Here is a 27,941-nt window from a genome sequence, read left to right on the forward strand (position 1 = left end):
CATCATAAAGATAAGTGTTTTCTACACTCAGGTTGAAAGATGCTATCAAAACAATCACCTACCTGTGTTTGGAAATACAGCAAGAAATATGATGAAATTTGAGCAGTAGCTGTCATGTTAAGCCATGTCACTTTTCCTGTGGGAGCAATAGTGGCAAAATGTTTATGGAATTTTTCTTTTTGTCAGATGGTCTCTAGATTTACATGTTAGCTCTGTTACTTATTAGCTATTTCTCCTTACACAAGTTAATCAATATCCTGAAGCCTAACTTTCTTAATAACAACACTCCATCACTCCTTTTTTTTTTTTTTTTTTTTGACGGAGTCTCGCTCTGTCGCCAGGCTGGAGTGCAGTGACAGTGATCTCGGCTCACTGCAACCTCCACCTTCCGGATTCAAGTGATTCTCCTGCCTCAGCTACCTGAGTAGCTGGGACTACAGGGGCACGCCACCATGCACAGCTAATTTTTGTATTTTTAGTAGAGAAGGGGTTTCACCATGTTGGACAGGATGGTCTCAATCTCTTGACCTCATGATCTGCCCACCTCAGCCTCCCACAGTGTTGGGATTACAGGGGTGAACCACCATGCTCAGCCTACTCCATCACTTCTTTTATCTCACCTTATAGAAAGAAAAAGAGAGAGAGAACTTTGGGAAAAACTCAAATACCTGATTTCTCCATGTACATACTAAGGAAGTTTTATACTGATAAAAAAATCCATATATCATTCTCATCTCCACCTAGCATTTTATTTTACACAGATATCCAGAGTGATCAGACATATACTGCCTCAACTTACCACCAAAGATACAGCGATACATATATCTGCAATCAAGTTATACTATTTGTTCAAATATGTGTGTTTTTCTCTCTATCAGTCAATTAAAGGTTTATATTTTCTAAGAAGTAACTTTTGGTTTTATTGATAACTTTATTGAATTTTCTATTCTTTATTTCATTTTTTGTTCTAATGTACACTATTTCCTTTCATTTATTTTGGATGTGGTTAGCTCTACTTTTTCTAATTTTATAAGGTGAAAACTTATAGTGTTGATTTGAAATATTTATTTCCTTTAAGATAGCCAGATACAAATACATTTCCCTCTAAGCACTGCTTTAGCTGCATCCCCCAAATTTTAGTGTGTTGTGATTCGGTATTCATTTTTCCCAAGGTGTTTTCTGACTTCCATTGTGACTTCCTCTTTGACCAATTATCTTATAAATTTCCACATAATTGTGAATTTCCAAAATTTTCTCCTATTATCACTTTCTAACTTTCTTTCATTGTAGTCTGAGAAAGCATTTTGTATTATATCATTAAAAAAAACCCTTGAGGTATGTTTTATAACCTATCATACAGTATATCCTGGAGAAAGTTCCACATACACTTGAGAATAATGTGTATTCTCGGTTGTTGTGTGGAGTGTTCTTTATGTGTATAGTAGGTTTCATTATGTTATACTGTTGTTGTGTTATTCATGTATTCTATTTTGTTATTGATCTGCCTAGTTATTCTATTCGCTATTGAATGTGGAGTATTGAATTATATCTAATTGTCTATTTCTCTCTTCAATTATGTGTCTTTTCTTCACATATTTTGGGTCTCTGGTGTTAAGTACATTTATAGCTTACAAATTATATATCTGGCATGTGCATGTGTGGATACCACCACCACCTTGCTGCTGCTAATGTACACATGCTGATCCCACTGCCATCACCCAGATCGAGTGCTTTTGCTGTCACCCCGTGTTGTAGTGCTTTTGCCAGAAGACAGGAACACCTCGGCCCTTCCACCACAGCAGATGCTTAACCTCAAGAAGCCAGAGAACAAAGCCATGGGTCTGATCCAATCCTCCAGGGTTACAGTATTTAGCCCAAGAGTGCTGAGCTGTGCCTTGGCCCTGCAAAATTATCCAGAAATAAAGCCAGTTGACTAAACCCAACTTTCACCGTAGTAAGCCTCTTAAGAGCATCAAATAATATCAAAACAAAAAGTTCTGTCTAAAGAATAAATTCAAAGATTAAAGAAACATTAGCTCACACAGATGAGAAAGAACCAGTCCAAAATGTCTTACAACTCTAAAAAGCCAGAGTATCTTCTTACCATCAAATAACTGCATTAGTTCCCCAGCAATGGTTCTTGAGCAGAATAAAATTGCTGAAATAACAGACATAGAAATTAGAATCAGTTAAAGTTCAGGGTCTCTTGTAAGGCAAGTCTGGTGGGTAGAAAAATAAGATAAAGAAAAACAATTAATGGGTACTAGGCTTAATACCTGAATGATAAAATAACCTGTACTAAAAACCTCCATGACACAAGTTTACCTGTGTAACAAACCTGACCTGAAAATAAAAGTGAAAAAACAAAATCAGAATCTGAATGGGAAGGAAGTCATTGAAAGTCAAGAGAAAGTTGAAACTCAATTCAAGGAATCAAAGGATTCCAGTAAAACATTTCAAGAGCTGGAAGATGAAATAGTCATTTTCAGAAAGAAACAAACTGATCTGACAAAACTGAAAACCTCACATGAATGTAATAGTACAATTGGAGGTATTAACAGCAGAACAGACCAAGTGGAGGAAAGAATCTCAGAGCTCAAAGACCAGTTCTTTGAATCAACTCAGACAAAAATAAAGATAAAACATTTTTTAAATGAACAAACCCTCTAAGAAATATAGGATTATACAGAGTCCAAAATGATGACTCATTGGCATCCCTTAAAGAGAGAGAGAGAGCAAGGAACTTGGAAAATGTATTTGAGGATATTGCCCATGGAAAATGTCCCAACCTCATTAGAGAGGTTAACAATTCAAATTCAGAGAATTTAGAGAACCCCTGCAAGATAGTATGCAAGGTGACAATCCCCGAGACACATAATCATCCAATTTGCCAAAGTCAAGATGAATGAAAAAATATTAACACAGCTAGAGAGAAGGGGAAGTAACCTACAAAGGAAACCATATCAGGTTAACAGCAGACCTGTCAGCAGAAACTATATAAGCCAGAAGAGATTGGGGACCTATATTCAACATCCTTAAATAAAAAAAAAAGTATTCAAGAATTTTGTATCCTGCCAGACTAAGCTTCATATGTGAAGGAGAAATCAAATCCTTTTCAGAGAAGCAAAGGCTAGGAGTCTATGTAACCACCATGGCTGCCTTACAAGAGGTCCTTATGGGAGTGCTACACATGGAAACAAAAGACAATTACCAGCAACCACAAAAACCCACTTAAGTACATCGATAATTTACACTATAAAACGACTACACAAAAAAGTCTACATAACAACCAGCTAACAACGTGACGGTAGGATCAAATCCACACCTATCGATATTAACATCAAACATAAAAAGGCGAAATGCCCCACTTAAAAGGCACAGAGGAGCAAGTTAGATAAAGACGCAAGACACAACTATATGATATCTTTAAGAGACACATCTCACATGCAATGACACCCATAGCTTCAAAGTAAGGGGATGGAGAAAGATCTACCAAGAAAACAGAAAACATAAAAGATCTGGGGTTACTAGTATTACTTAAAACAAAACAGACTTTAATTTTAAAAAGGGACAAATATTGGCATTACATAATAATTAAAGTGTTCACTTCAACAATAAGACTTAACTATCCTATGTATATATACTGTCAACATTGGAGCACCTTGATTAATAAAATGAGTTCTTAGAGACCTGTGAAGGGAATTAGATAAACACACAGTAAAAGTGGGAGACTTCAACACCCCAAAAGAGTATTTGACAAATTATCAAGGCAGAAAACTAGCAAATACATTTGAGGCTTTAACCCAACACTTCACCAAATGGACCTAGCAGACTTCTACAGAACACTCCACCCAAAACCAACAGATTATACATTCTTCCTGTCTGCACATTGGACATTCTCTAAAATCAATCACATGCTTGGCCATAAAGAAATTCTCAACAAATAAAAATACCAAAATCATACCAACTGTAGTCTCATACCACAGTGCAATACAAATCAAAATCAATACCAAGAAGATCTCTCAAGACCATACAATTGCATGGAAATTAAACAATCTGTTCCTGAATGACTTCTGAGTAAACAATGAACTTAAGGTAGAAATCAAAACAATTATTTTAAACTAATGAAAACCAAGATACAACACACCAGAATCTCTGGGACACAGCTAAAGCAGTATGAAGAGGAAAGTTAGCAGCAATAAACACCCACACCAGAAAGGTAGAAAGGTCTTAAATTAAAAACTCGGCTTCACACCTAGAGGAAGTAGAAAAAAAGAAAAGCCTAGAAAACCTCATACTCTCTGCTCAAAGGAGCCTAGCTCTGATAAACAAGTTCAGGAAAGTTTCTGTATACAAAATCAATGTACAAAAATCAGCAACATTTTTACACACCAATAATGTCCAAGCTGAGGGCAAAATCAAGAATGAAATACCATTTACAATAGCCACAAAAAAAATAAAATATCTAGGAATTAAGCTAAACAGGGAAGTAAGATTACTACAATGAGAACTACAAAACACTGCTGAAAGAAATCAGAGACAACACAAACAAATGGAAAAATATTTCATGCTCATAAAGAGGAAGAATCCATATCTTTAAAATGGTCATATTGCCCAAAGCAATGTACAGATTCAATACTATTTCTATAAAATTACCAATTACATTTTTCACAGAATTAGAAAAAACTGCTCTAAAATTCATACATAACCAAAAAAAAAAAAGAGCCTGAATAGCCAAAGAAATTCTAAGAAATAAGAACAAAGACAGACCACCTGACTTCAATTGCCTCCCAACATCAAACAACACTACAAGGCTACAATAATAAAAAAACAGTATGGTACTGGTACAAAATCAGACACATAGACCAACAGAACAAATTAGAGAAGCAAGAAATAAAGCCACACATATACAACACTCTGATCTTTGACAAAGCAGACAAAAACAAGCAGTAAGGAAACGACTCCCTATTCAATAAGTGATACTGGGATAACTAGATAATCATCTTCAGAAGATTGAAGCAGGACCTCTCCATTTCACGATATACAAAAATCAATTCAAGATGGATGAAATACAATGTAAAACAGAAAATTAAAAATCCCTGGAGGATAACCTAGGAAATACAATTCTGGACTTAGGAATGGGCAAAGATTCCATGACCAAGATGCCAAAAGCAATTGCAACAAAAACAAAATGGTTGACAAGTGGAGCCTAATTAAACTAATGAACTTCTGCACAGCAAAAGAAACTATCAGCACAATATATAGACAACCTACAGAATGTGAGAAAATAAGTGCAAACTATGCATCTGACAAAGGATTAATATCCAGAATCTATAAGGAACTTAAACCAATAAGCCAAAACCAAACAACTCCATTAAAAACTGGGCAAAGGACATGAACAAACACTTCTCAAAAGAAGACCATATATGCAACCAACAAGCATATAGACAAATGCTCAACATCACTAATCATCTAATAATTATTAGAGAGATGCAAGTCAAAACCACAATGAGCTACCATCTCAGAAGAGTCAGAATCACTATTATTAAAAAGTACAAAAATGACAGATGCTGTTGCAGCTGCTGAGAAAGGGAACACTTACACACTGTTGGTGGGAATGTAAATTAGTTCAGCCACTGAGGAAAGCAGTTTAGAGATTTCTCAAATAACTTAAAATAGAACTACCATTCAACCCAGGAATCCCATTACTAGGTATGTACCCAAAAGAAAATAAATCATTCTACCATAAAGACATATGCATATCTATGTTTGTCTCAGTACTATCTACAATAGCAAAGACGTTGTGATGGTTAATACTGAGTTTCAACTTGATTGGATTGAAGGATGCAAAGTGTTGATCCTGGGTAGGTCTGTGAGGGTGTTGCCAAAGGAGATTAACATTTGCGTCAGTGGGCTGGGCAAGGCAGACTCATCCTTAATTTGGTTGGGCACCATCTAATCAGCTGCCATTGTGGCCAGGATATAAAACAGGCAGAAAAACATAAAAAGGCTACACTGGCTTAGCTTCCCAGCCCACATATTTATCTTATGCTCTATGCTTCCTGTCCTCAAACATTAGATTCCAAGTTCTTCAGCTTTGGGACTTGGACTGGCTTCCTTACTCCTCAGCTTTCAGATGGCCTATTGTAAGACTTTGTGTTTATGTGCGTTAATAAACTCCATATATATATTTATATATACACACACATATGAATATATATATATATATATACATATATATATATATATCCTGTTAGTTCTGTCCGTCTAGATAACCCTGACTAATGTAGACAGGGAATAAATCTAAATGTCCATTAACAGTGGACTAGATAGAGAAAATATGGTATACGTACACCATAAAATACCACACACCATCAAAAAGAGCGAAATCACGCCTTTGCAGTACCATGGACACAGCTGGAGATCATTATCCTAGGCGAATTAATAAAGAACAGAAAACCAAATACTGCATATTCTCACTTGTAAGTGGGACCTAAAAACTGAGTATTCATATGCACAAAGAATGAAACAATAGACATTGGGCCTAGTTGAGGATGGAGCATGGGATGAAGGTGAGACTCTACAAAACATCAGGTATAATGTTCACTACCTAGGTGATGAAGTAATTTGTACACCAAACCCCAGTGACATCCAATTTAACCATGTAACAAATCTGCACATGAACCCTCTGAACCTATAATAAAATTTGAAAGGAAAAATTAAAAATGAATTAAAAAAATAAAATGGTAAATAGTAAATATTCTTGATTTATACTTTCACCATTTAAAAAATATCCTTTTATCTTACAGTAATGATTTTTGTTTCAGTGTCCATTTTGTCTGATATTAAATTAACATAGCTACTCAGGCTTTTTTGAGAGGTTATGGTTTGCACTTTATATCTTTTTCTATACTTTATTTTCAGTCTGTTTGTGTCTTTGAACCTAAATTGTGTTTTTTTACTGGCAGAATATAGTCATATAGTTGAATCATTATTTAAATTCAGTCAGTCAATCTCTGCCTTTTTCAGAGTGTTTACTCCATTTGCATTTGATATAAAGTGAAGTTCACTTCTGCCATTATACTATTATTCTTTTCTTCCTGTCTTCTGTATTTGTTGTTCTTACAGTAATACCACCTTCTTTTTCTTTTTCTTTCTTTTTTTTTTTTTTTTGGACAGGGTCTTACTCTGTCTCCCAGATTGAAACACGATATCGGCTCACTGCAACTTCCACTGCTCAGGTTCAAGTGATTCTCCAGCCTCAGCCTCCTGAGTAGCTGGGATTACAGGTGTGTGCCACTGCCACCTGGCTAACTTTTGCATTTTTAGCAGAGATGGGGTTCCACCATGCTGGCCAGACTGGTCTTAAACTCCTGACTTCAAATGATCCACCACCCTCAGCCTCCCAAAGTGCTGGGATTACAGTCATGGGCCACCGTGCCCGGCCACCACCTTCTCTTTTGGTATAGATATTTTACAGTGTGTCATTTCAATTTCTTGGCAATTTTTAAAAATATTTTTGTGTTTCCATAGTATATCATAGTATTTTTATTAGAATTAATATTTTATTTCGTAGAAATTTAGTTTAGATATATTGCAATTAAATTTCAATAATATAAATATGCTTTGCTCCTATATAGCTCATTTCCCCCTCTTCTTTGTGCTGTTATTGTCATAAAATACATCTTAATACTTCACATGTTCAGCAACACATTTTTACAATCAAGCCATTGCTTTATGCACAGGTCTTTCAACATAGGTGGGACAGAAAAGAGTTACAAACAAACAAAAAACAGTATTATATTATACTTTATGTATGCAGTTATATTTAACTTGTGCTTTACATTTCTTCATGTAATTTTGAGTTTGTTTGGTGTCCTTTCATTTCAGCCTGGAGGACTTCCATTACTACGTCTTGTAAGGCTTTTCTGGTAGCAACAGATCATCTCTGTTTTTGTTTTTCTGGGATTGTCTTAATGTATCCTTTAATTTTGAAAGTTTGTTTTGGTGCATATCAAATTCTTGGTCTACAGCTGTTTCCTCAGCACTTTGAGTATGTCATGTGACTGCCTTCTCTTCTCCATGGTTTTCAATTAGAAATTGGCTGTTCATCTTATTTTTAACCCATCATATATTTAAAAAGATTATTTGACCTTGCTGCTTTTCAGATTCTCTCTCTGCTGCATCTCAAAAAGAAAAAAAGATTCTCTCTCTGGAAGATTTAAATTATATCAAGGTTTTTTTTTTAAATCACAATAACAAGAAACTAGAAATCAACAATGGAAGTTATCCTGAAAATTTTAAAAATATGTTGAAATTAAACAACATGCTCCTAAACAACCAGTAGGTTATGGAATAAATTAAAAGGAAAATCAAAGAATACCTTGAGACAAATGAAAATGGTAATACAGCATACCAAAACATATGAGATGCAGCAAAAGCAGCTCTAAGAGTGAAACTTGTAGCAAAAAAATGCCTGTATCAGTGAAAAAGAAGGATCTTAAGTAAACAATCTAACATTATATATCTGAGAAATGAAGGAAAAACAAACTAAGACCAAAGTTAGAAGGAAGTAAATAACAAAGACCAAAAATGAATAATTTAGAAACTAGGAAAATAATTTTAAAAATCAACAAAACTAAGAGGTTTTTGGAAAGATAAAATTGAAACACTCTTCAAAAGAACAATTGAGAAAAAATAGAAGATACAAATAGATAAAATCAGAAATAAAATAAGAAAAATTACAACTGATATGATAGAAACATAAAAAAATTCTAATAATACTAGGAATAATTACATACCAACAACCTGGATAACCTAGAAGATATATATAAATTTCTGATTAGATACAGCTTACTGAGACTAAATCATGAAAAAAATTAAAAATCTGAATAGACCAATAATGGCTAAGGAGATTGAGCCAGTAATAAGAGGTCCCCCATCAATGAACAGCCTGAGACATAATGGCTTCTCTGCTAAATTTTACCAAACATTTAAGAAAAGCTAATATAATCTTTCTCAAACTCTTCCTAAAATTTCAAGTAGATGGAATACTTCCAAACTCATTTTTAAGGCATGTATTACCCACATACCAAAGACAGACAGGAGCAGTACAAGAAATGAAAATTACAGGCCAATATCACTAATGAACATAGATGAAAACATCCTCAACAAAATATGAGCAAACCTAATTCAACAACCCATTGAAAGAATTATGCACTATGAGCAAGTGGGATTTATCTCTGAGGTGCAAGAATGGTTCAACATATGCAAATCCGTAATTGTGGCACACCACAATAACAGAATAAATGACCAAAAATACATAATCATCTTAATAAGTGCAAAAAAAAAAGCATTTGACAAAATTCCGCAACTGTTCTTGGTAAAATCTCTCAACAGATTAGTTACAGAGGGAATGCACCTCAACACAATAAAGGCCACATATGATAAGCTGACAGCTAACATTATAAATCAATGGTTAAAAGTTGAAATCTTTTCCTTTATTATCAAAAACAAAATGAGGATGCCCATTCTCACTGTTTCTTTTCAACATAGTACTGGAAGTACTAGACAGAGCAATTAGGGAAGATAAAGAAATAAAATGCATCCTAATAGGAAAGGACAAGGTGAAACTGTATGCTGACAAGGTGATCTTATAAATAGAAAACCTTAAGGATCCCACCAAAAAATTAAAACTAATAAATAAATACAGTAAATTTGCAGGATACAAAATCAACATGCAGCAATCAGTAGCACTTGTATGCACTAACAATGAACTCTGAAAGAGAAATTGAGGACACAATCCCATTTACAGTAGCAGCAGCAACAAAAATACTTAGGCATAAATTTAACCAAGGAGGTGAAATATCTGTATACTGAAAAATATAAAACACTGATGAAATAAATTGATGACAACACAAATAAATAGAAAGATAACTTATGTTTATGGACTGGAATAATTAATTTTGACAGTGTCCATACTATTTGAAGAAATCTATAGATGCAATGAATCCCTACACAATCCCAATGGTAATTTTTACAGAAATAGAAAAAAATTCTAAATTACATATGGAACCACAAAAGATCCTGAATAGTCAAAGCAATGTTAAGCAAAAAGAAAAAAAAACATGATTAGAAAACATACTTTAAAGCAATTGTGATCAAAAGACAATAGTACTGGCATAGAAATAGACCCATGGACTGATGGAATAGAGTGGAAAGCCCATAAATAAACTCACACCTTTATGGTTATTTGATTGGCAGCAAAAATCCCAAAAATACACAATGGGAAAAGGATAGTCTCATCAATAGATACTGTTGGGAAAAGTGGATATCCATAAGCAGAAGAATGAAACTGTATTCTCCTCCCACATCATATACAAAAATAAACACAAAATGGTTTAGGGATTTAAAGTAAAACCCAGAAATATATAAAAGTACTAGAAGAAAACATCAAAAAATATTTCATGTCATTGTTTTGGTTAGTAACTTTTTGGATATGACCTTGAAAGCCCAGGTAACAACAGTAAAAATACATAAAATGATTGCATCAAACTAAAAACAACTTTTTCATAACAAAGGAACCAACAGAGTGAATACATAACCCATAGAGTGGAAGAAAATATTTTAAAACCATACATTTGATAAGGGATTAATATCCTAAATACATAAGGAACTCAAACAACTCAATAATAAGAAAACAAATAACCAACTAAAAACTGAGCAAAGAGCCTGAACAGATGTTTCTTAAGATATACAAATGGCCAATAGAGTCATAAAAATTTGTTGAATATCTCTAATTTTTAGGTAAATTAAAATTAAATCTACAATGAGATATTACTTTACACCTATTAGAATGACTATGATAAAAAAGATGAACTAAAAAATGTTGGTAATGATGTGGAGAAAACAGAATCTTTGAACACTGTTAGTGGAAATGTAAGTTAGTACAGCCATGAAAAATGGTATAAAGTTGTCTCAACATCTTGTAGAAATTATAGACAGCTAGAGGAACAAGAGAACTACCATATGATCTAGCAATCCTACTTCTGGGTATATATCTAATGGAACTGAAATCAATATATTGAAGACATGTCTGCATTCATATTCACTGAAGTGTTATTCACAATAGCCAAGATGTAGAATAAACCTAAGGGTCTATGCAGATGAACAGATAAAGAAAATATTAGATATAAGCACAAGGGAAAGCCATTCAGCCTTAAAAAAAAAAAAAAAAGACAATGCTGTCCTTGGCAATAGCACAAATAAACCTGGAAGACATTTTGCTGAGTGATGTAAGCCAGGCACAAAATGTCAAATATTGCATGATTTCCTTTTTATGGTGAATCTAAAAAAGTCACACTCATCAATGAAGGAAGGAGAATGTTGGTTATTAGAGGCCAAGGGTTGGCAGAGGAAATGTTTGTCAAAGGACATAATGTTTTAATTAAACAGATGAAAGAAGTTTTTGAAATCTACCACACAGCAAGGTGACCACAGTTAATAATAATGTATCTAATATTTCAAAATTGCTGACAGCAAATTTCAAATGTCTCAAAAAAAAAAGGATGGGTGAGGTGATAGATATGGCTTTTTTTTATTTAATCATTTCAAATTGAGTACATATATCAAAACATCACATTGTACTTATGGGTACATATTGTTACACTGTACCTATAGGTACAATGTTATGTTTTGATATATGTATACAATTTGAACGTATACATAAAATTTTGGAATGCATATATGAAATCTTGTCTAAAAAATTATGAGAATTATATCTATATAAATATACATAATACATTATATATTATTTATATATTAATATATAGGTACAATTTTTATTATATATTATATAAAATACATTTTTATATATTTTATATTATATGTATTATATTTATATATTATAGAATATAATTTCTCATATTCTTTAGACAAGATTTTCTTTAATTCTTTGAACATACTTTAAACTGCCAACTTCGTGTTATTTGCTATAAGTCCAAAATTTGTGCTTCCTGTAGAGTAGTTTCTATAGACCTTACTTTTTCCTGTATATAAGACATTTTTAAAAATTTTTTTGCCATGTATCATGTTTTTGTTGAAAATTTTAAACATGGAATAATTATATGTATTTATATATAATGAAAATGTTTGAATAAAAATGACATAAATTAGAAAGGGTTCTTTCCAACTTTGGGTTTTGATAGTTTATAATATGTCTACGTCTGGATTTTTGAGTTTATTCCTTTTGGGTTTTACTGAGTTTCTGGACATGTAGATCAACAATTTTTATCAAAATTTGGGAAGTTTTCAGACATTAATTTTTCAAATATTCTTTCTACCCCTTTTCCTCCCCTCTTCTCTCTGCTCCTTCTGCTCCTTCTCTTTCTCCTTCTGTGACTCTCATTATGTATATATATGTATCATGGTATCTCACAGGTCTCTGAGACTTTTTTTCATTCTTTTCTCTCTCAGTACCTCAGACTGGTTATATAAATTGAGCTATCTTCAAGGTCAAGCATTCATTCTTCTGAAAGCTCAAATCTTCTGTTGAGTGCCCCCTGTGAATTTATTTTAATTATTATTGTGTGTTTTGACCCTATAGACTGTATTATAAACTTTTAAATAATTTATATATCTTTCTTGATATTTTCCTTTATTTGATGATGTATTATTCTCATATTTCCAATAGTTCTTTAGACAAGATTTTTTTTAGTTCTCTGAACATTCTTTAGATAGCAAACTTTATGTTTTCTCTATAATTCCAATATTTTTGTTTTCTGTAGTGCAGTTTCTATTGATCTTACTTTTTCCTGTATATGAGCCATATTTCTTATTTATTTGCATGTCTCATACATTCTTCGTTAAAAATTTAAAATATTGAATAATATATAATGGCAAATTTTGTAATCAGATTCTCTTCTATCCCCAGTAATTTTTTTTGTTCTTGCTGGTTTTTTTTTCATTTATTTCTTGAATTAATTTTGTCAAGTCTGTATTCTTTGTTGGATGTAGCTACTGCAATTTCATCTCAGTTAGCTTTGTCATCAGCTAATGATTGAATAGATAGTACCTTAAATGCCTGGTATAAATATGTCTTTTAGCATTTGCCAAGGGATTCTATGCATTTGGGGACACACTGTCAATGTTTAGGCAAGCAATTTACAGCTCTTGTTACATTTTACTTCTTACTTACATTAAGCCACATGACTGCACATGCAGACAGACTTGCACATGCGGCCCTTTAGATTTCCAGGAATATGTTGAAGCTTTTCAACCCCCCTATGGACAGCTCCTTCCCCAGTTTTTTATTTTAAATATCTATCAGCCTGAAATTTACCCCAACTTTTATCTCCATCTCAGGCAGTTGCAGTTTATCCAATTGCCACTGCTTGTTTTCAGCAAACACACCTTAGGTAAAGACTACTTGTTCACACTCGATTATGACTGAGTCAGGTCAAATAATCACAAGGCTGGTTTGTGGAGTTATCCAAGGAAGTGACAGACAGCTCAAATAATGACCACTCTCTGAGAATGAGGCTTTAAAGGAGCTCCAACCATTTTCTACTTCCTACATAAGCTTCCTGGATGCTATCATTATCGTGGGCTGTTGGTTTTCAAAGTTATCCCAGAACGGAGGACAGAGGGGATGGCATAAAAAAGTTGCAATGCCACAGACCTCACTATTTTTACAAGTTAGCCATTTTCTTGAATAAACACTCTCAAGGTTATTGCAAATTTTAATTAACTTCATGAATTTTGAAAACTTCATTATGAGAGTTTTGCCAGTTTTACTTGCTTTTATTGAGAAAAGGATTTTTGGAGGATCTTAATCATTCTCTCTAACATTATTGTATTATATCTTTAAACATACGTATCATTTTCAGTTATCATTCCTTTCCTCTTCCAGAGCTTCAGGTTCACATTATTTTATATCCAATATTCCTCAATATCTATGATCTACCCCATAATTATTATTTGGGTCTTTCCTCTCCACTTAAAATCTTATGATTTCCTCTGTCTTTTCCATAATGCACTAGGCCGTACTTATAGTCATATGTGCTTTATTGCCTCTAATCTACCATTCAACACTTAACTGCATTTTTATTTTCATATCAAGTTTATATTTTAACCATTGCATTTTTTAATCTCTGTTTTTTTCCCCTCACGATCTCATTTTGAGTTTCTGTACTCTTCTTTGAAATATTTTTAAAGCCTAAAATTTATTTGAAATTATGGAGATATTTTCTCTGAACACTGCTCCTATTTCACTGAAATTCATCTTGAGAAATTTATTTTTCACCTGTCATTTGCAGTGCTTGTTCTTACCTTTTTCCCTCCAACATTAATGCATACACTTTCTGAAGTTCTTTTGTCATTATTACTGACTTTTTAAATGGGAGCAATTATCCTGAAATCTACTATGACGAAGAGTGGGAGGATAAATCACAGTTTCAATTCATATTTGTTGTATCCAGCAACCTCTCACTAAATATGATTTCCTTTGTCCTACAAAGACATCTTCATTTAATTTTTAGTGCCCCAGTATTCAGCATGGCTGGAAAAGCTCTTGTACCCAGAGGCATTTGATGTCATTATCTGGCCCTTGGTGCCTCCTCGCCTCTTTTTTCAGTTTAAGAAAAGACTGGAAGTCTGAATCGGCTATCAACATGGTTTACCATCTCTCCTTCCTAGGCATGTACTCATGTAAAACTAGATCTTTGCATTAGACTTTGTCTAGGACCCTCATTTTACTGTTCTAACCAATAATCTTTGGGAAGATATTTAACTATACAGTGATTGGATTTACAGCTTAAGATCTGCAAAAGTATGTGTCCTGTTTCAGTATCTCTTTCACTTTCATCTACTTTTTCATTATATGACATATACAAATAACACATTATAATTTTGGATGACAGCCCTTTTTCCTGTGTATTAAAAAAAATTTTCCCCTATTTCTTCCTCCCTCCCTTCCTCCCTCTCTTCCTTCCTTTCTTTTCTTCTTTCCTTCCTTCTTTCCTCCTTTCCTCTCTCTCCCTCCCTTCCTTCCTTTCTTATTTATTTCCATATTTGTTGATTGTGAAGAAAAGGTTTTTGAAAATAAATTTGGAGGGAAATTTTATTCCTTTGAGTAGTTTGCAAAGCAGGGATAGACAGCCTTCTGTTCTAATCAAAGTTGTGTTCCAGGCAACAAAAAGATGATTCAGGTTTTATGGCAAAGGTTCCTGCCCAAGTTCCTAATCAGGCCCATTAATGCCAATGAAGGATTGAAACTTACTTAGTTCTGATTGGTTGGTACACCTGAGCTCTAATGAGTTGATACCATTGAGTCCTAATTGGCCAGGGCAGATGAGCTCTGAGTCTCTGTCAGATGTTTCTTTCAAATGGCCAATATTGGGAAAGGGGGAGGGTGTCTGGTCAAAGCTTATCTTGGCATTGACAACAGAAACTGGTTTGTTTGCTCAATTGTAGACAGGGAAGTCCTATAACACTTATACAACATCTTTCTGAGAACACAATAGTACGTGACCACTCCTTCACCAAAGGTTATATTTTATTCATACTTCAGAGTTAAATTAAAATATTACTTCACAATGAAAAAGTCTGGGATTCTTTAGCCTAAATTATATAAGTCTATTAAATTCACTTAGGAGCCTAGAATTTCCCTTGTAGGTTTTTCATTAGTATATATAAGTAATTGATGTCTTATTATTTTGTTGTGTCTGTTTTTATTAAATACGCTTTCTCTGAGGGCGGGGGTCATACTGTCTTAAATTGCTGCAATCAACACATAATAGAAGGAACATAGCATTCAAATTTTTGTATTGAACCAATTAATTAATACATAAGCTTTATGAAAATATGTCAATGGTAAATATAAGTAAATTTCTGAAAACAGTCTACTAATGAATAGAACAAATACATTTTACCAATATTTTGCTGTAAACATTAAGCAGTTATTATTATTGACAACGTTGACTGACACTATACTATAGCATCATAACTGCTAAATTAGTACTGAATATGCTATTAACATTAGCGATAAAGTATCATCATTATTTAAACACAGTTTGTCTTAACACTCATTTGTATGCACAATGCCTTTTTCTAAATGCATAAGTGCATCATAAATATATAAATCTCCATAATTATACATATCCAGTCTCCTTTCTGAATCCACTAAATGCAGAGATGAGAGGGGGAATTTGTAATTTCATAGCTGATATTAATGTGCAGCTCTGTTTAAAAGTCACTCCTCTATTTAAAAAAAAGTTCCAGATGCTTTTTGAGAACTATAGTTAAAATTTGTGGGCGTAGGATTCTTGGTCATATTTCTATTCTCATTCTACCATTTTTAATATTTAATTTACATCTGTTGGCCTCACTGAAAACTTAAGACTTCCAAATTAATTAAAAATTTATAGAAAAATTGGAGTTTCTCACTTTGGCCTATTGAAACAAACTTCATTAATATTATATAGTTCTAGTGAGCTCAACAGTAATGAGCTATGTAAATACATGTTATAAACGAGAACTAAAATGTTAACTAAGGTACAACCACTTGGTGAACTTCTATAAATGCTGGCTGATTTTCACGCCCTTCAAATAGCCTTCAAATAGAAAAATAGATTTTAACAACCACATACTTTCCCTAACTTAAAATTCAGTGAATTTCAAGTGTTATTTTAAATTTGCAATAATAAGTATTTAAAGAGAAAATTTCATGCATGAAATAAAAGTACAATCATATCCATCCTACCTAGCTATCTATCACTTATTGATCACATATTCATCTCTCTACCTATTATGCATTAACTTAGGTGATTTTCATGAGAACCATATTTAATAATGTTTCTATGGGAAAATGCATTCCATTATCATTTGAATTCAGGATGACATAACACTTCAAATAATGCTTCTCTTGCTTTTCTGGTGACCATGCCTGAGATTCTGAGCCTTCATAGACTCCTATATCTCAAGAAGAGCTGATTGATAGAAATACAGATTCTTCTGCATACCAACATTTTTGTTTCTTCTCTAAATATACATAAATCAATATATTCAATTGATACATGCCTTGAATTATAAAACTGTTCTTTGCAATTCAGTTTTTCTTCTCCCAAATCATTTTCTAAGTACTTATACTGAAATATATATATGCAAATGGAACAGTTTTACATTAATAATATAAAAGAATATTTATTATACTCATATAAAATGTTTAGAAAATGTGGCTTGTGAATATTTTCATATTAATGTCAACACAGGTAGCTCTACATCATTTTATTTAACTACTCTTTAGTATCCCATATGATACAACTGCCTAAAAATTATATATTGATAAATGATTAATATATTTTCTTAGTTTTTGCTCTTAAAAACATAATTATATTTTTTCTTCATTTACACGAGAGATTATTTAGCTGCTATTGAAGAGTTAAATTTGTCTTGAAAATTTATGCCTATAAAAATTCAGTCTAAACTGCCAAATTGCCTTTCAAAGGCCTATTTCCATTTTTGCTTTCTAAAACAATGTATGATCACATCATTTTTTCCAGAAATAATACTGATAAATTTCAATTATTTGTGAATCTATATAAAATATATTATATAATTAGTTTAATATATATTTATTTGCTCATCACAGAAATTCAACATTTTCATTTCTTAAGTATCTGAATTTACTTGGCTGTCAATCTGAACATTGTCCATTAGCTTATATGTTTATATGTTATTATCAATATGTTAATATGAATAATTTTACAAGCAAATTTTGTTATTAAACTTTATACTTTAAACCCATAAAATTTTCTACTGTCAGTATACCAATAATGTATATCTTCTTTTTTTTAAGAAATAATAGCCTGCTGTAAGACTTTAAACATAGTTTTCCATAATGTGATACTTTCATCCATTTGTTGCTTAAATTTTTTTTGTTATTTGATTTGAAATTTATGTCTGTAATGGAATGAGGCAGAAATCTGAATTGTTCCCCCAGCAACCTCAATAAAATGGTCAATCGCTACAATGTAATGACTCCTTCTCATTATACATCTTTTCCTCATTGATTTTATTGGCTACCTTGATCATATGCTAAATTTGAACACATACATGTATCCAATTCAGTATGTATGAGCTAGTTCATTAATCTAACGAACAATTTTTATTCCATTACTATATAATTTTCTCATTTTATCTAAATGATATATTTTTATTGTGGATCATTATTATCTCCTTCTTCCAAACTGTCCTTGTATTTCTTAACTGTTTCTTTTGATCCCTAAATTGATTTTAAATTAGATTATCAATTTCTGTCAGAGAATAAACTCTTTTATGATTCTAACTAGGTGTGAAATAAAATAAAAATTAACAATTATTGATATCACTTTATTGATTTATCATTTAAAGCACTTGTTTATTGAGCAATAGTTATTTTTTCTATATTAGTGACATTTGTTCTTTCCCATATAATATTTACAACACATCTTTTTTGTATTGACTTGTTCCTATGAGAGATTGATTATTAAATAATAAGCTAGCCTAGAATTCATGGAATAATTCCCACTTATTCTATTTATTGTGACTAAATTCAACTTGCTAATGTTTTATTCATGAGTTTTTGCATCCATGCTTACGGGTATATTTTTCTTTAATTTTCTTTTCTGTGTAATGGCCTCAGGCTTACTACCAGAGTTATACTAGCCTGAAAACTGTGAAAGAGTTTAAGTTTGGTATTACTTTTTCTTTAAATGTTTGTAGTTTTCTTGTGGGAATTTTTTAATCAATATTTTTTAGAGACAGGGTTTCTCTTTGTTGTCCAGGCTGTAGCATGGTGGCCTCCTAAGTATCTATAGGTGTGTGCCACCATGCCTTGCTAATTTCTTTTTTTCTAGAGATGGGGTCTCCCTATGTTGCCAAGGCTGGTTTGAACTGTCTGGCGTAAAGCAGTCCTCCCATTTTGACTTCCAAAAATGCTGGGATTGCACGTGTGAGCCACCTAATTTGACCAGGAGAGTATTTAGTTAAAAAGTCAACAACTATAAGATTACTCATATTTTAAAATTTCTTCTAACACTAGTTTTGGTAAGATGTTTCTTTAAAAAATAATATCTATTTTTTCGAGTTTTAATATGTATTCACAAATTTTTTTATAATATCCTATTATCTTTTATAATGTGAGAAAGGATTGAAATTATATTATCTTTTTCATTATTGGTATTAGGATTTGTATTTTCACATTTTCAAATCCATCAGGCTGAAGCTTTGTCAATTTTATTACTTTTTTAAAAAACAACTTGGGCTTTCATTTTTCTGTTTTCCAATTTATTTTATTTTGGCATATGTATTTATATTTTCTGTTATTTTTTTTTTACTGTTTTTAATCTTATTGAAATGGGACTTTAAATAATTGGTTTGTTTTCTTTTCTAGTATATGTAATTAAAATTATAAATTTCCTGCAAGGCAAAAATTTAGCTGCTTCCCACAAATTTTGTATTCATTTATTTTCTAAGATTTTAAAATTTATTTTGTATATTTTAAAAAATTTTAATGTGTTGACTGTCTAAAGTTTATTTTTAATATTAAAATATGATATTTCCAATTAAATTTCTACTATTGGCTTACTTTTTTTTCTTTCATTTGGTATCACCTCAATCAAATATTAAGTACTGAGATAATCTGAGGTTAGACTGAAACTTCTGAAAGTGCTTGCCTACTACTGTAGCTGTTACTTTCTTGTCTTCAATTTTATGAATATACCATAATTTATTTGATCATTCTACTGATGATGGGTATATGTGTAGTTTCCAGGTTCATGCTATTTTGTTTTTGTTTGTTTTAACTGAAAGATAAAATTTTGCTTAGAGTATAAAACAGGATGTTTTAAAGTATATGTATATTGTAAAATGGTTAAATTTAGTAATTAAAAATGCATTACCCCACATGGTTATTATTTGTGTGCTGAGAACAGTTAACATCTACTCTCAAAAGATAAAAAGTAGAAATACTATATAATCCAGCAATCCCACTACTGGGTATACAGACAAAATAAAATCAGTATCTGGCCTGGCACCCCTGGGGGCTCATGCCTGTAATCTCAGCACTTTGGGAGGCCAAAGTGGGTGGATAACTTGAGGTCAGGAGTTCGAGACCAGCCTGGCCAACGTGGTGAAACCTCTCCACTAAAAATACAAAAGTTAGCTGGGTGTTGTGGCACACGCTTGTAGTCCCAGCTACTTGGGAGGCTGAGGCAGGAGAGTCGCTTGAACCGGGAGGCGGAAATTGCAGTTGCAGTGAGCCGAGATCACGCCACAGCTGCACTCCAGTCTGGGCAACAGAGCGAGACTCTGTTTCAAAAAAGAGGTATCTGAATGCCCATGTTCATTCCAACACTATTCACAGCAGCCAAAATATGAAATTAATCTAAGTGTCCATCAACAAAAGAATGAATTAAAAATGCAGTATACATACACAATAAAATCTTATTACACCATAGGGGGAAAAAAAAGAAGAATAAATTGTGTCGTTTGAGACAATGTGAATGAACTTGGTGGGCATTAGGTTAAGTAAAATTAGCCAGGCACAGAAACACAAATATTGGATGATCTCATTTACATGTGGCATCCAGAGAAGTTGATCTCATAGAAGTACAAAGTAAAACAGTGGGTACCAGAGGCTAGAGTGATTGGAGGAAAAGGTTTGGAAAAAATGTTGATCAAAGGATACATCATTATTAGTTAAATGGGAGGAATAAGTTCAAGAGCTTTATTGTATAACATGGTCCCTATAGTTAATGACGATGTATTATATTTTTGAAAAACATCGAGTCAATTTTGGCTGTGTATGAGCTTCCCTGTGCCCTCCACCCAAGACTATCTGTTCGCATGTATTATTAGGATCTCTGTGCGCGTGCACGTGTGTGTGTGTGTCTGTGTGTATGTGTTTGTGTATTAGGACCTTTGTGTGTGTCCTTTCTTATGGTACTTCCTATGACTTTTTTTTTTGTATTTCACATTTTCTATTACTATAGCATAGTCATAAATATTTGGGGGATACATGTGATACACATATGCAATGTATATTGATCATATCAGGGTCATTGGGATATTACCTCAAACATTTATCATTTGTGATGGAAAATTTACAATTCTTCCATTATTGTTATTTTGAAATACATAATAAATTATTGGTAACTATGATTTCCTTACCATACTGTAGAATATTAGAACTTGTTCTTTCTAACTGTATTTACCAATTAAACAACTTCTCTTCATATCCCTCCCCCACCTCTTTTCCTTAACAGCTTCTGATACCACCAATGTACTCTCAACCTCCATAAGATTTACTTTTTTACCTCCTAGATATGAGTGAGAATATGCAATATTTAGGTTTCTGTGCCTGGCTTATTTTGCTTAACATAATGACCTCCAGTTCCACTCATGTTTCTGTAAATGACAGGATTTCAATATTTCTTATGGCTGAATAATATTCCACTGTGCATATATGCCACATTTTCTTTATCCATTTGTCTACTGATGGGCACTTAGATTGATTTCCTATTTTGGCTACTGTGCTGCAATAAACCTAAGAGTGCACATATCTCTTCAATATGATTTTTTTAAATTATTGAAAATGGAATTGCTTTCTTGATTGTTTTCAGATAGATCACTGTTAGCATATAGAAATGCTACTTTTTATATTGATTGGGTCTTTTGTAGTTTCATATAAATTTTAAAATTGCTCTTTATTTCCCTGAAGAATGTTATTGGTATTTTAATATAGATTGTATTGAATTTGTAGATAATTTTGGGTAGTAAATTTTAACAATATTAATTCTTCCACTTCAGGAGAATGGGATAGATTTTCATTTTTTGTGCCCTCTTAAATTTCCTTCATCAATGTTTTATAATTTTTTAAAATTGTATAAATTGCAAAAATCTTTCACTTCTTTGGTTGAACTGATTCTTAGGTTTTTTTGTAGCTATTGTAAACATGATATCTTTCTTGATTTTTTTTTCAGATAGATAACTGTTAGCATATAGAAATGCTACATTTTATATTCATTTTGTATCCTTCAACATTGCTAAATTTATCAGTTCTAAGAGTATTTTGGTGGAGTCTTTACGTTTTGCCAAATATAAGATCATATCCTATTCAAAGAAGGATAATTGAACCTCCTGCTTTCTAATTTGGATGCCTTTTATTTCTTTTTCTTCCCTAATTGCTCTGGCCAGGACTTCGTTGTTGAATAACAATGGTGAAAGTGAGACCATCCTTGTCTTGCAGATTTTAGTGGAAAGGCTTTCAATTTTTCCCCATTCAGTATATTAGCTTTGGGTTTGTCATACATAGCCTTCATTGTGTTGAGGTCTGTTCCTTCTATACTGTTTGTTGAGAGTTTTCATTATTAAGGGATATCAAATGTTATATAATGCTTTTCAGCATCAATCGAAATAATTATTTGGTTTTTATTCTTGATTTTGTTGATGTGATATGTCACGTTTATTCATTTGCATATGTTGTGCCATCTTTGGATCCCTGCAACGAATCCCACTTGATCAAAGTGAATGATCTTTTAATGTGTCATTGAATTCAATTTGCTAGTATTTTTTTTTTTTGGAGGACTTTTGCATCCATGTTTATCAGATATATTGGTTTATTGTTTTATGTTTTTTGTTTGTCAGGTTTTGGTATCAGGCCGATGGAGGCCTTGTAGAATGAGTTTGGAAGTATTCCTTCCTCTTCAAGTTTTTGACACAGTTTAAGTAGAACTGGTATTAATTATTCTTTACCTTTTCAGTAGAATTCGGTAGTAAATTCAGCAGGTGCTTGGCTTTTATTTGATGGGCGACTTCTTGTCATTGCTTCAACCTTGTTACTCATTATTGGTCAGTTCAGGTTTAATATTTCTTCCTGAATCAATCTTGGTACATTACATGTGTACAGGAATTTATTCATTTCTTCTAAATTTTCTAAATTGCTCATGTATAATTATCCATAAGTTTCTAATTGTCTTTGTGAAAGGAGTTATTTAGCTTGCCTTAGGTAGATAGCAAGAGAAGAGTCCCCTGAAAGCTGCCGGCCCACAGGTCAGTGCCTCACCTCCACATAACATAAAAAGCAGCCTGGGAAAAAAAAATCAGGCTGCGGGCACAAATGAGGCAACTATACAGGGTGTTGTGCCTGGAGACACGCCCACGCCTGCACAGACAGAAAAACCTCCCACCATTTTGGATAAAAACTAGCACGGACCTCTGGCTCACTCAGATAAGGGGACAAGGACTGGCATAGAAATACCTTTGTCCTTTATACAGTCAGTGGGCTATCAGGAAAGTTTCTTCTCCTTTTGTGGTGATGGGCACAGTGGGCTTCAGTGGGTTCCTATGGCCATTCTATTTCCTTTTTTTGGACTGTAAATCAGGCCTCTATGAATCATCACTTCAGCCCCTGATTGGTCCTGGGCCACAGTCCCAGGCCAAGCTTTCACTTCAGCTCCTGATAGGTCCCGGGCCAAGCTGAGCAGCCTCTGAGTCAAACCTTCTGATTGGTCCTGGGCCAAGGCCCCAGGCCAAGCTTTCACTTCAGCTCCTGATAGGTCCCGGGCCAAACTGAGCAGCCACTATCTGAATCCAGCTTTCTGATTGGTCCTGGGCCAACGCCCCAGGCCAAGCTGAGTCCCACATTCTCCAAGGCAGCCCGCTGACTAAGCACGTTTCTTCCCCTTCCCAGTCCACAAAAATCCTGTACCCCAGCCTCATAGGGGGCACCCCATTTGGGTCCCCTGCTCTGCTGGCAGAGAGCTTTCTTCTTTCACTTATTAAACTTTCACTCTAACCTCACCTTTGTGTCTGCACTCCTTAATCTTCTTGGAGGTAAAACAAAGAAATTTGGGTGTTATCTCAGACAAGGCCAAGAGTATTACATCTTGGTGCACTGCTGAGACTACAACATTTGTATATTTGTAGTATCACTTGTAATGTTTCCTTTTTCTCTAATTTCATCTGTTTGGGTCTTTCTCTTTTTTTCTTGATTTGTGTAGCCAAAAGTCAACTTTGTTAATCTTTTCAAGAAATCAACATATTTTGCTGAAATTTTATATTTTTAATCTCATCTATTTAAAGTCTTTCTAATTTTTTTTGATGTAGGCATTTATAGCTACAAAATTCCTTTTTAGTACCACTGTAGCTGCTGTATGTCATAGATGCTGGCATGTGTTTTCATATTTTCATATTCATTTGTTTCAATATTTTTTATTTTTTTCCTAATTTATTAATTGACCTATTGGTCATTCAGGAGCATGTTGTTTAATTTCCATGTGATGGGCATTTTCTAAGGCTCGTCTTTTATTAATTTTTAGTTTTATTCCACTGTAGTCATAAAAGATACTTGATATGGTTTCTGCTCCTTTTGAATTTGTTGAGAGTTGTTTTGTGAACTAACATATGGTCTATCCCAAAGAAGTTTTCGTGTGCTGATGAAAAAGTGTGTATTCTGTAGCAATTGCGTGGAACCTTCTGTAAACATGTTGGACCCATTGGTCTAGAGTACAGATAACCCGGATTTTTTTTGTTTTTGTTGATTGTCTGCCTCGATAATGTGTCCATCATCTAAAATGAGATGGTAAATTTTCCTACTGTTATTGTATTGCAGTCTATTTCTCCCTTTATATCCATTAATATTTGATTTATATATTTGGTTGCTCCATTGTTGGGTGTATATATACTTACTACTATTATATCCTATTGGTGAATCTACCCCTTGTTAACGATATAATTACTGTTTTTTGTCTTTGTATACAGTTTTTTTTTAATGCAAAGACTATTTTACGTAAGTATAGCTACCTCTACTGTTTTTTCATTTTCAGTTGTATAGAATATGTTTTCCCATCCTTTCACTTTTTCTCTCTAGGTGAAGTGAGTTTCTTTATAAGTGTAGTGAGTTTCCTGTAGACAGCATATAGTTGGGTCTTACTATTAATCAATTCAGCCACTTTTTATGTCTTTTAATGAGATAATTTAGCCATTTACACTCAGTGTTATTATTGATAGCTAAGGACTTACTACTGCCACTTTTACTTGTTTTTACTTATTCTGTAACTCTTCTCCTTTATCCCTTTCTTATGTGTGTGTATGTGTGTGTTGTTGTTATTTTCTCTGGTAGTATGTTCTAATTTTTTTGCTTTATATTTTTAGTGCCTCTGCTATAGGTTTTTGCATTGTGGTTACCATGATGCTTAAACAAAACATTATAGAGTTATAACAAGTATTTAAAACTGATGCCATCTCAAATTAGATCACAAAAAAAGAAACACAGTAAAAAAAGAAACTATGTATATTAACTCCCTTCTATCCCAATAGTTTGAAATTTTCAGAAACCCTGTCTCTTAAAAAATATTTTACGTATGATAATGTTTAAATGTCTTGTCTCTCAGTCTTCTTGCTAAAGATGTAATTTATTTAAACACTGTGATGACAATATTAGTATAACAATCACATTCACATTCTTTCTTTAGATCTGAGAAAATTCCTTTAGTAGTTCTTGTATTACATGTCTGAAAGCAACAAATTATCTTAGCTTTTCTTTGTCTGGGAAGGTCTTTTTATATCCTTTATTTCTGAAGGACAGCTATGCTGGGTACAATATTCTTGATGTCCAACACTTTTTCTTCAGTGCTCTGATTATATTGTCTCACTCCATCCTAGCCTGCAAGATTTCTACTGAGAAGTTGCCTTGTATGTTATCTGATCCTTTTCTCTTGGCAGCTTTCAGAGTTCTTTCTTTGTCTTTGACATTTGTGCGTTTGATTATAATATATCTTTGGGTATTCCTATTTGGTTGAATCTGATTGGTGATCTTTGACCTTCCCACACCCAGACATTTATATATTTCACCAGGTTTGAAAAGTTTTCTGTTATTATTTCTTTGAATAAGCTATCTACCTATTTGTCTTTTTCTGTTACCTCTTTAACTACAGTAATCTGAATATTTACTCTTTTGATGTTGTCCCATAGATAGTATAAGTTTGCTCATTACTTTTTTTTTCTTTTTCTCCTCTGACTGTGTTTTGAAATAGTTTGTCTTTTAGTTTACTGATTCTTTCTTCTATTTGATTAATTCAGCTATTGATGTTTTCTATTGCATTTTTTATTTCAATCATTGTATTTTTAGCTCCAAGATTTTTGCTTGATTTTAAAAATGTCAGTCTTTTTGTTAAATATCTCTCATTAATTTCTGAACTGATACTCTGTATATTCTTGAAGTTTGTTGAGTTTCCTTAAAACATCTATTTTGATTTTTTTCTTTGAGACATCACATATTCCTTACTTTAGAATCAGTTTCAGGCACCTTATTTTATCTCTTTGGTGAGATCACATTTTTCTGAATATTCTTGATGCTTGTGAAAGTGTGATGGTATCTGCACATTGATGAATTAAGTGCTTATTTTAGTCTTCACAATCTGGCTTTATTTGTGCTTATTATTCTTCAGAGAGCCTTCCAGGGATTTTAAGCCAACTGACAGTTTTGTTCCCCACACATAGGACCACTGCAGCCATGTAAGCCCTAGAGGACACTCTAAGCCCAAACTCACTGTGAGTCTTTCAATGGTTATAATGCTGATGTGACTTCCTGGCTCAAATGCACTTCAGAAGACCAAGAAGAGTTCTGGGGCTGTGTGGAAATATGGGTCAGGTGCCTGAGTCCAGAAGACTCTTTCACTTTCCTAGATAGACATGCCTCCTAGAAGTACTTTTCACAGATAGAATGAATTCCTGAATGCAGCTAGACAGGCTGGACTCAAGACCAGCCCCCTTCAGGATGTGCTGTGGGAAGGAGGCTGATGGGTCTATCTTATTGTCTCAGATAGGCATGTATCAACCAGCAAGTTCCTGCTCAAGTAGGGTAGTTCTTTGCAACATAATGTAGTTCTTTGACTGCATATGAGTAAATGTGACCAGGTGTGCATCTCCCGGTAAGTCCCTGCAAAGACAGAATAGTTCACTGATTGCAGCAGGGGTGCTGAACCTGAGACTGGGATCCTCAGGATCTTCTGTGGGACAGAGGCTAGAAAGGTTGCTTTGTTGCCCCATACAGTTATATGTTTTCCAGCAGGTCTCAGCACAGCTGGGATAGTTCACAAACTACAGATAGAGGGGCCAGAGCAGACACTGGGCCCCCTTGGAATTTGCTGTGTGATGGAAGCTGGTGAGCTTGTCAAGAAGCTCATACTCCTGAGCTGTGTTATATATTCAAGTCTCCTTCTGGATCCTTGTGTGAGCAGAAATCTTGTTATTGAGGGATAAGAACAGGTTACCTTCTATTCGGCCATCTTGATGACATCACTTCCCTACTTCCCATGACTTTCTATGCCTTTGTTCGCAACAACAAATCAAATTCAGATATATATAACTAAACCAATGACCGATGTCTAAGTCATGTAGTATGTACTCAAAATATATTTTTTGAAAGAGTGAATGAATAAATTGATTTAAAAAATTAATAAAGGGGCTATAATATCACTAAATATTCCAGCAACTCTCCTCATTTAACTTTTTTTATTGACTCCAATAAGGTTTGTGATAAAGTAAAAACTATAGGTTCATGTGAGAGTGCAATCAACACCTTTTACAACTTTCCCAGTAGGCTACTCTTTAGAACCATATGATGTTACTTTCATTCATTTTCTTTCTGCATTTTCTTTTTCCAAATGCCATGCTGTTTCTTTATGTATGCTCTCTGGTCTTTTATATATGCTTTCCCTTTGGGGAGAGAAAAAAATAAGATCTGAATCCATTAGCCATTGGTGAACTTTTACTTACCTTTCATTACAAAATGAGCTCTGGATTTCATTTTATCCTCACAAGAAAGATTCCTTGACCCTTCTAGTGCACTCTTTTGGTAATTTTCTAACAATAATCACTCTGCATTGCATTTATTTGCTTAC

General features: G+C 33.3%; 1 long non-coding RNA gene across 1 annotated transcript; it reads right to left on the minus strand.

Annotated features, from left to right (window-relative positions):
- Window positions 1-735: 735 nt before the first annotated feature.
- On the minus strand, window positions 736-20,255 carry LINC01242 (long intergenic non-protein coding RNA 1242). Its single transcript, NR_046204.1, has 3 exons — window positions 20,221-20,255; window positions 2,105-2,158; window positions 736-1,901 (listed from the first exon to the last, which is right to left on the minus strand). It is a non-coding gene; the product is annotated as a long intergenic non-protein coding RNA 1242 (long non-coding RNA).
- Window positions 20,256-27,941: the final 7,686 nt, after the last annotated feature.

This window comes from Homo sapiens, chromosome 9 (assembly GCF_000001405.40).
Source record: "Homo sapiens chromosome 9, GRCh38.p14 Primary Assembly".
In the NCBI taxonomy this organism is placed as follows: domain Eukaryota; kingdom Metazoa; phylum Chordata; class Mammalia; order Primates; family Hominidae; genus Homo; species Homo sapiens.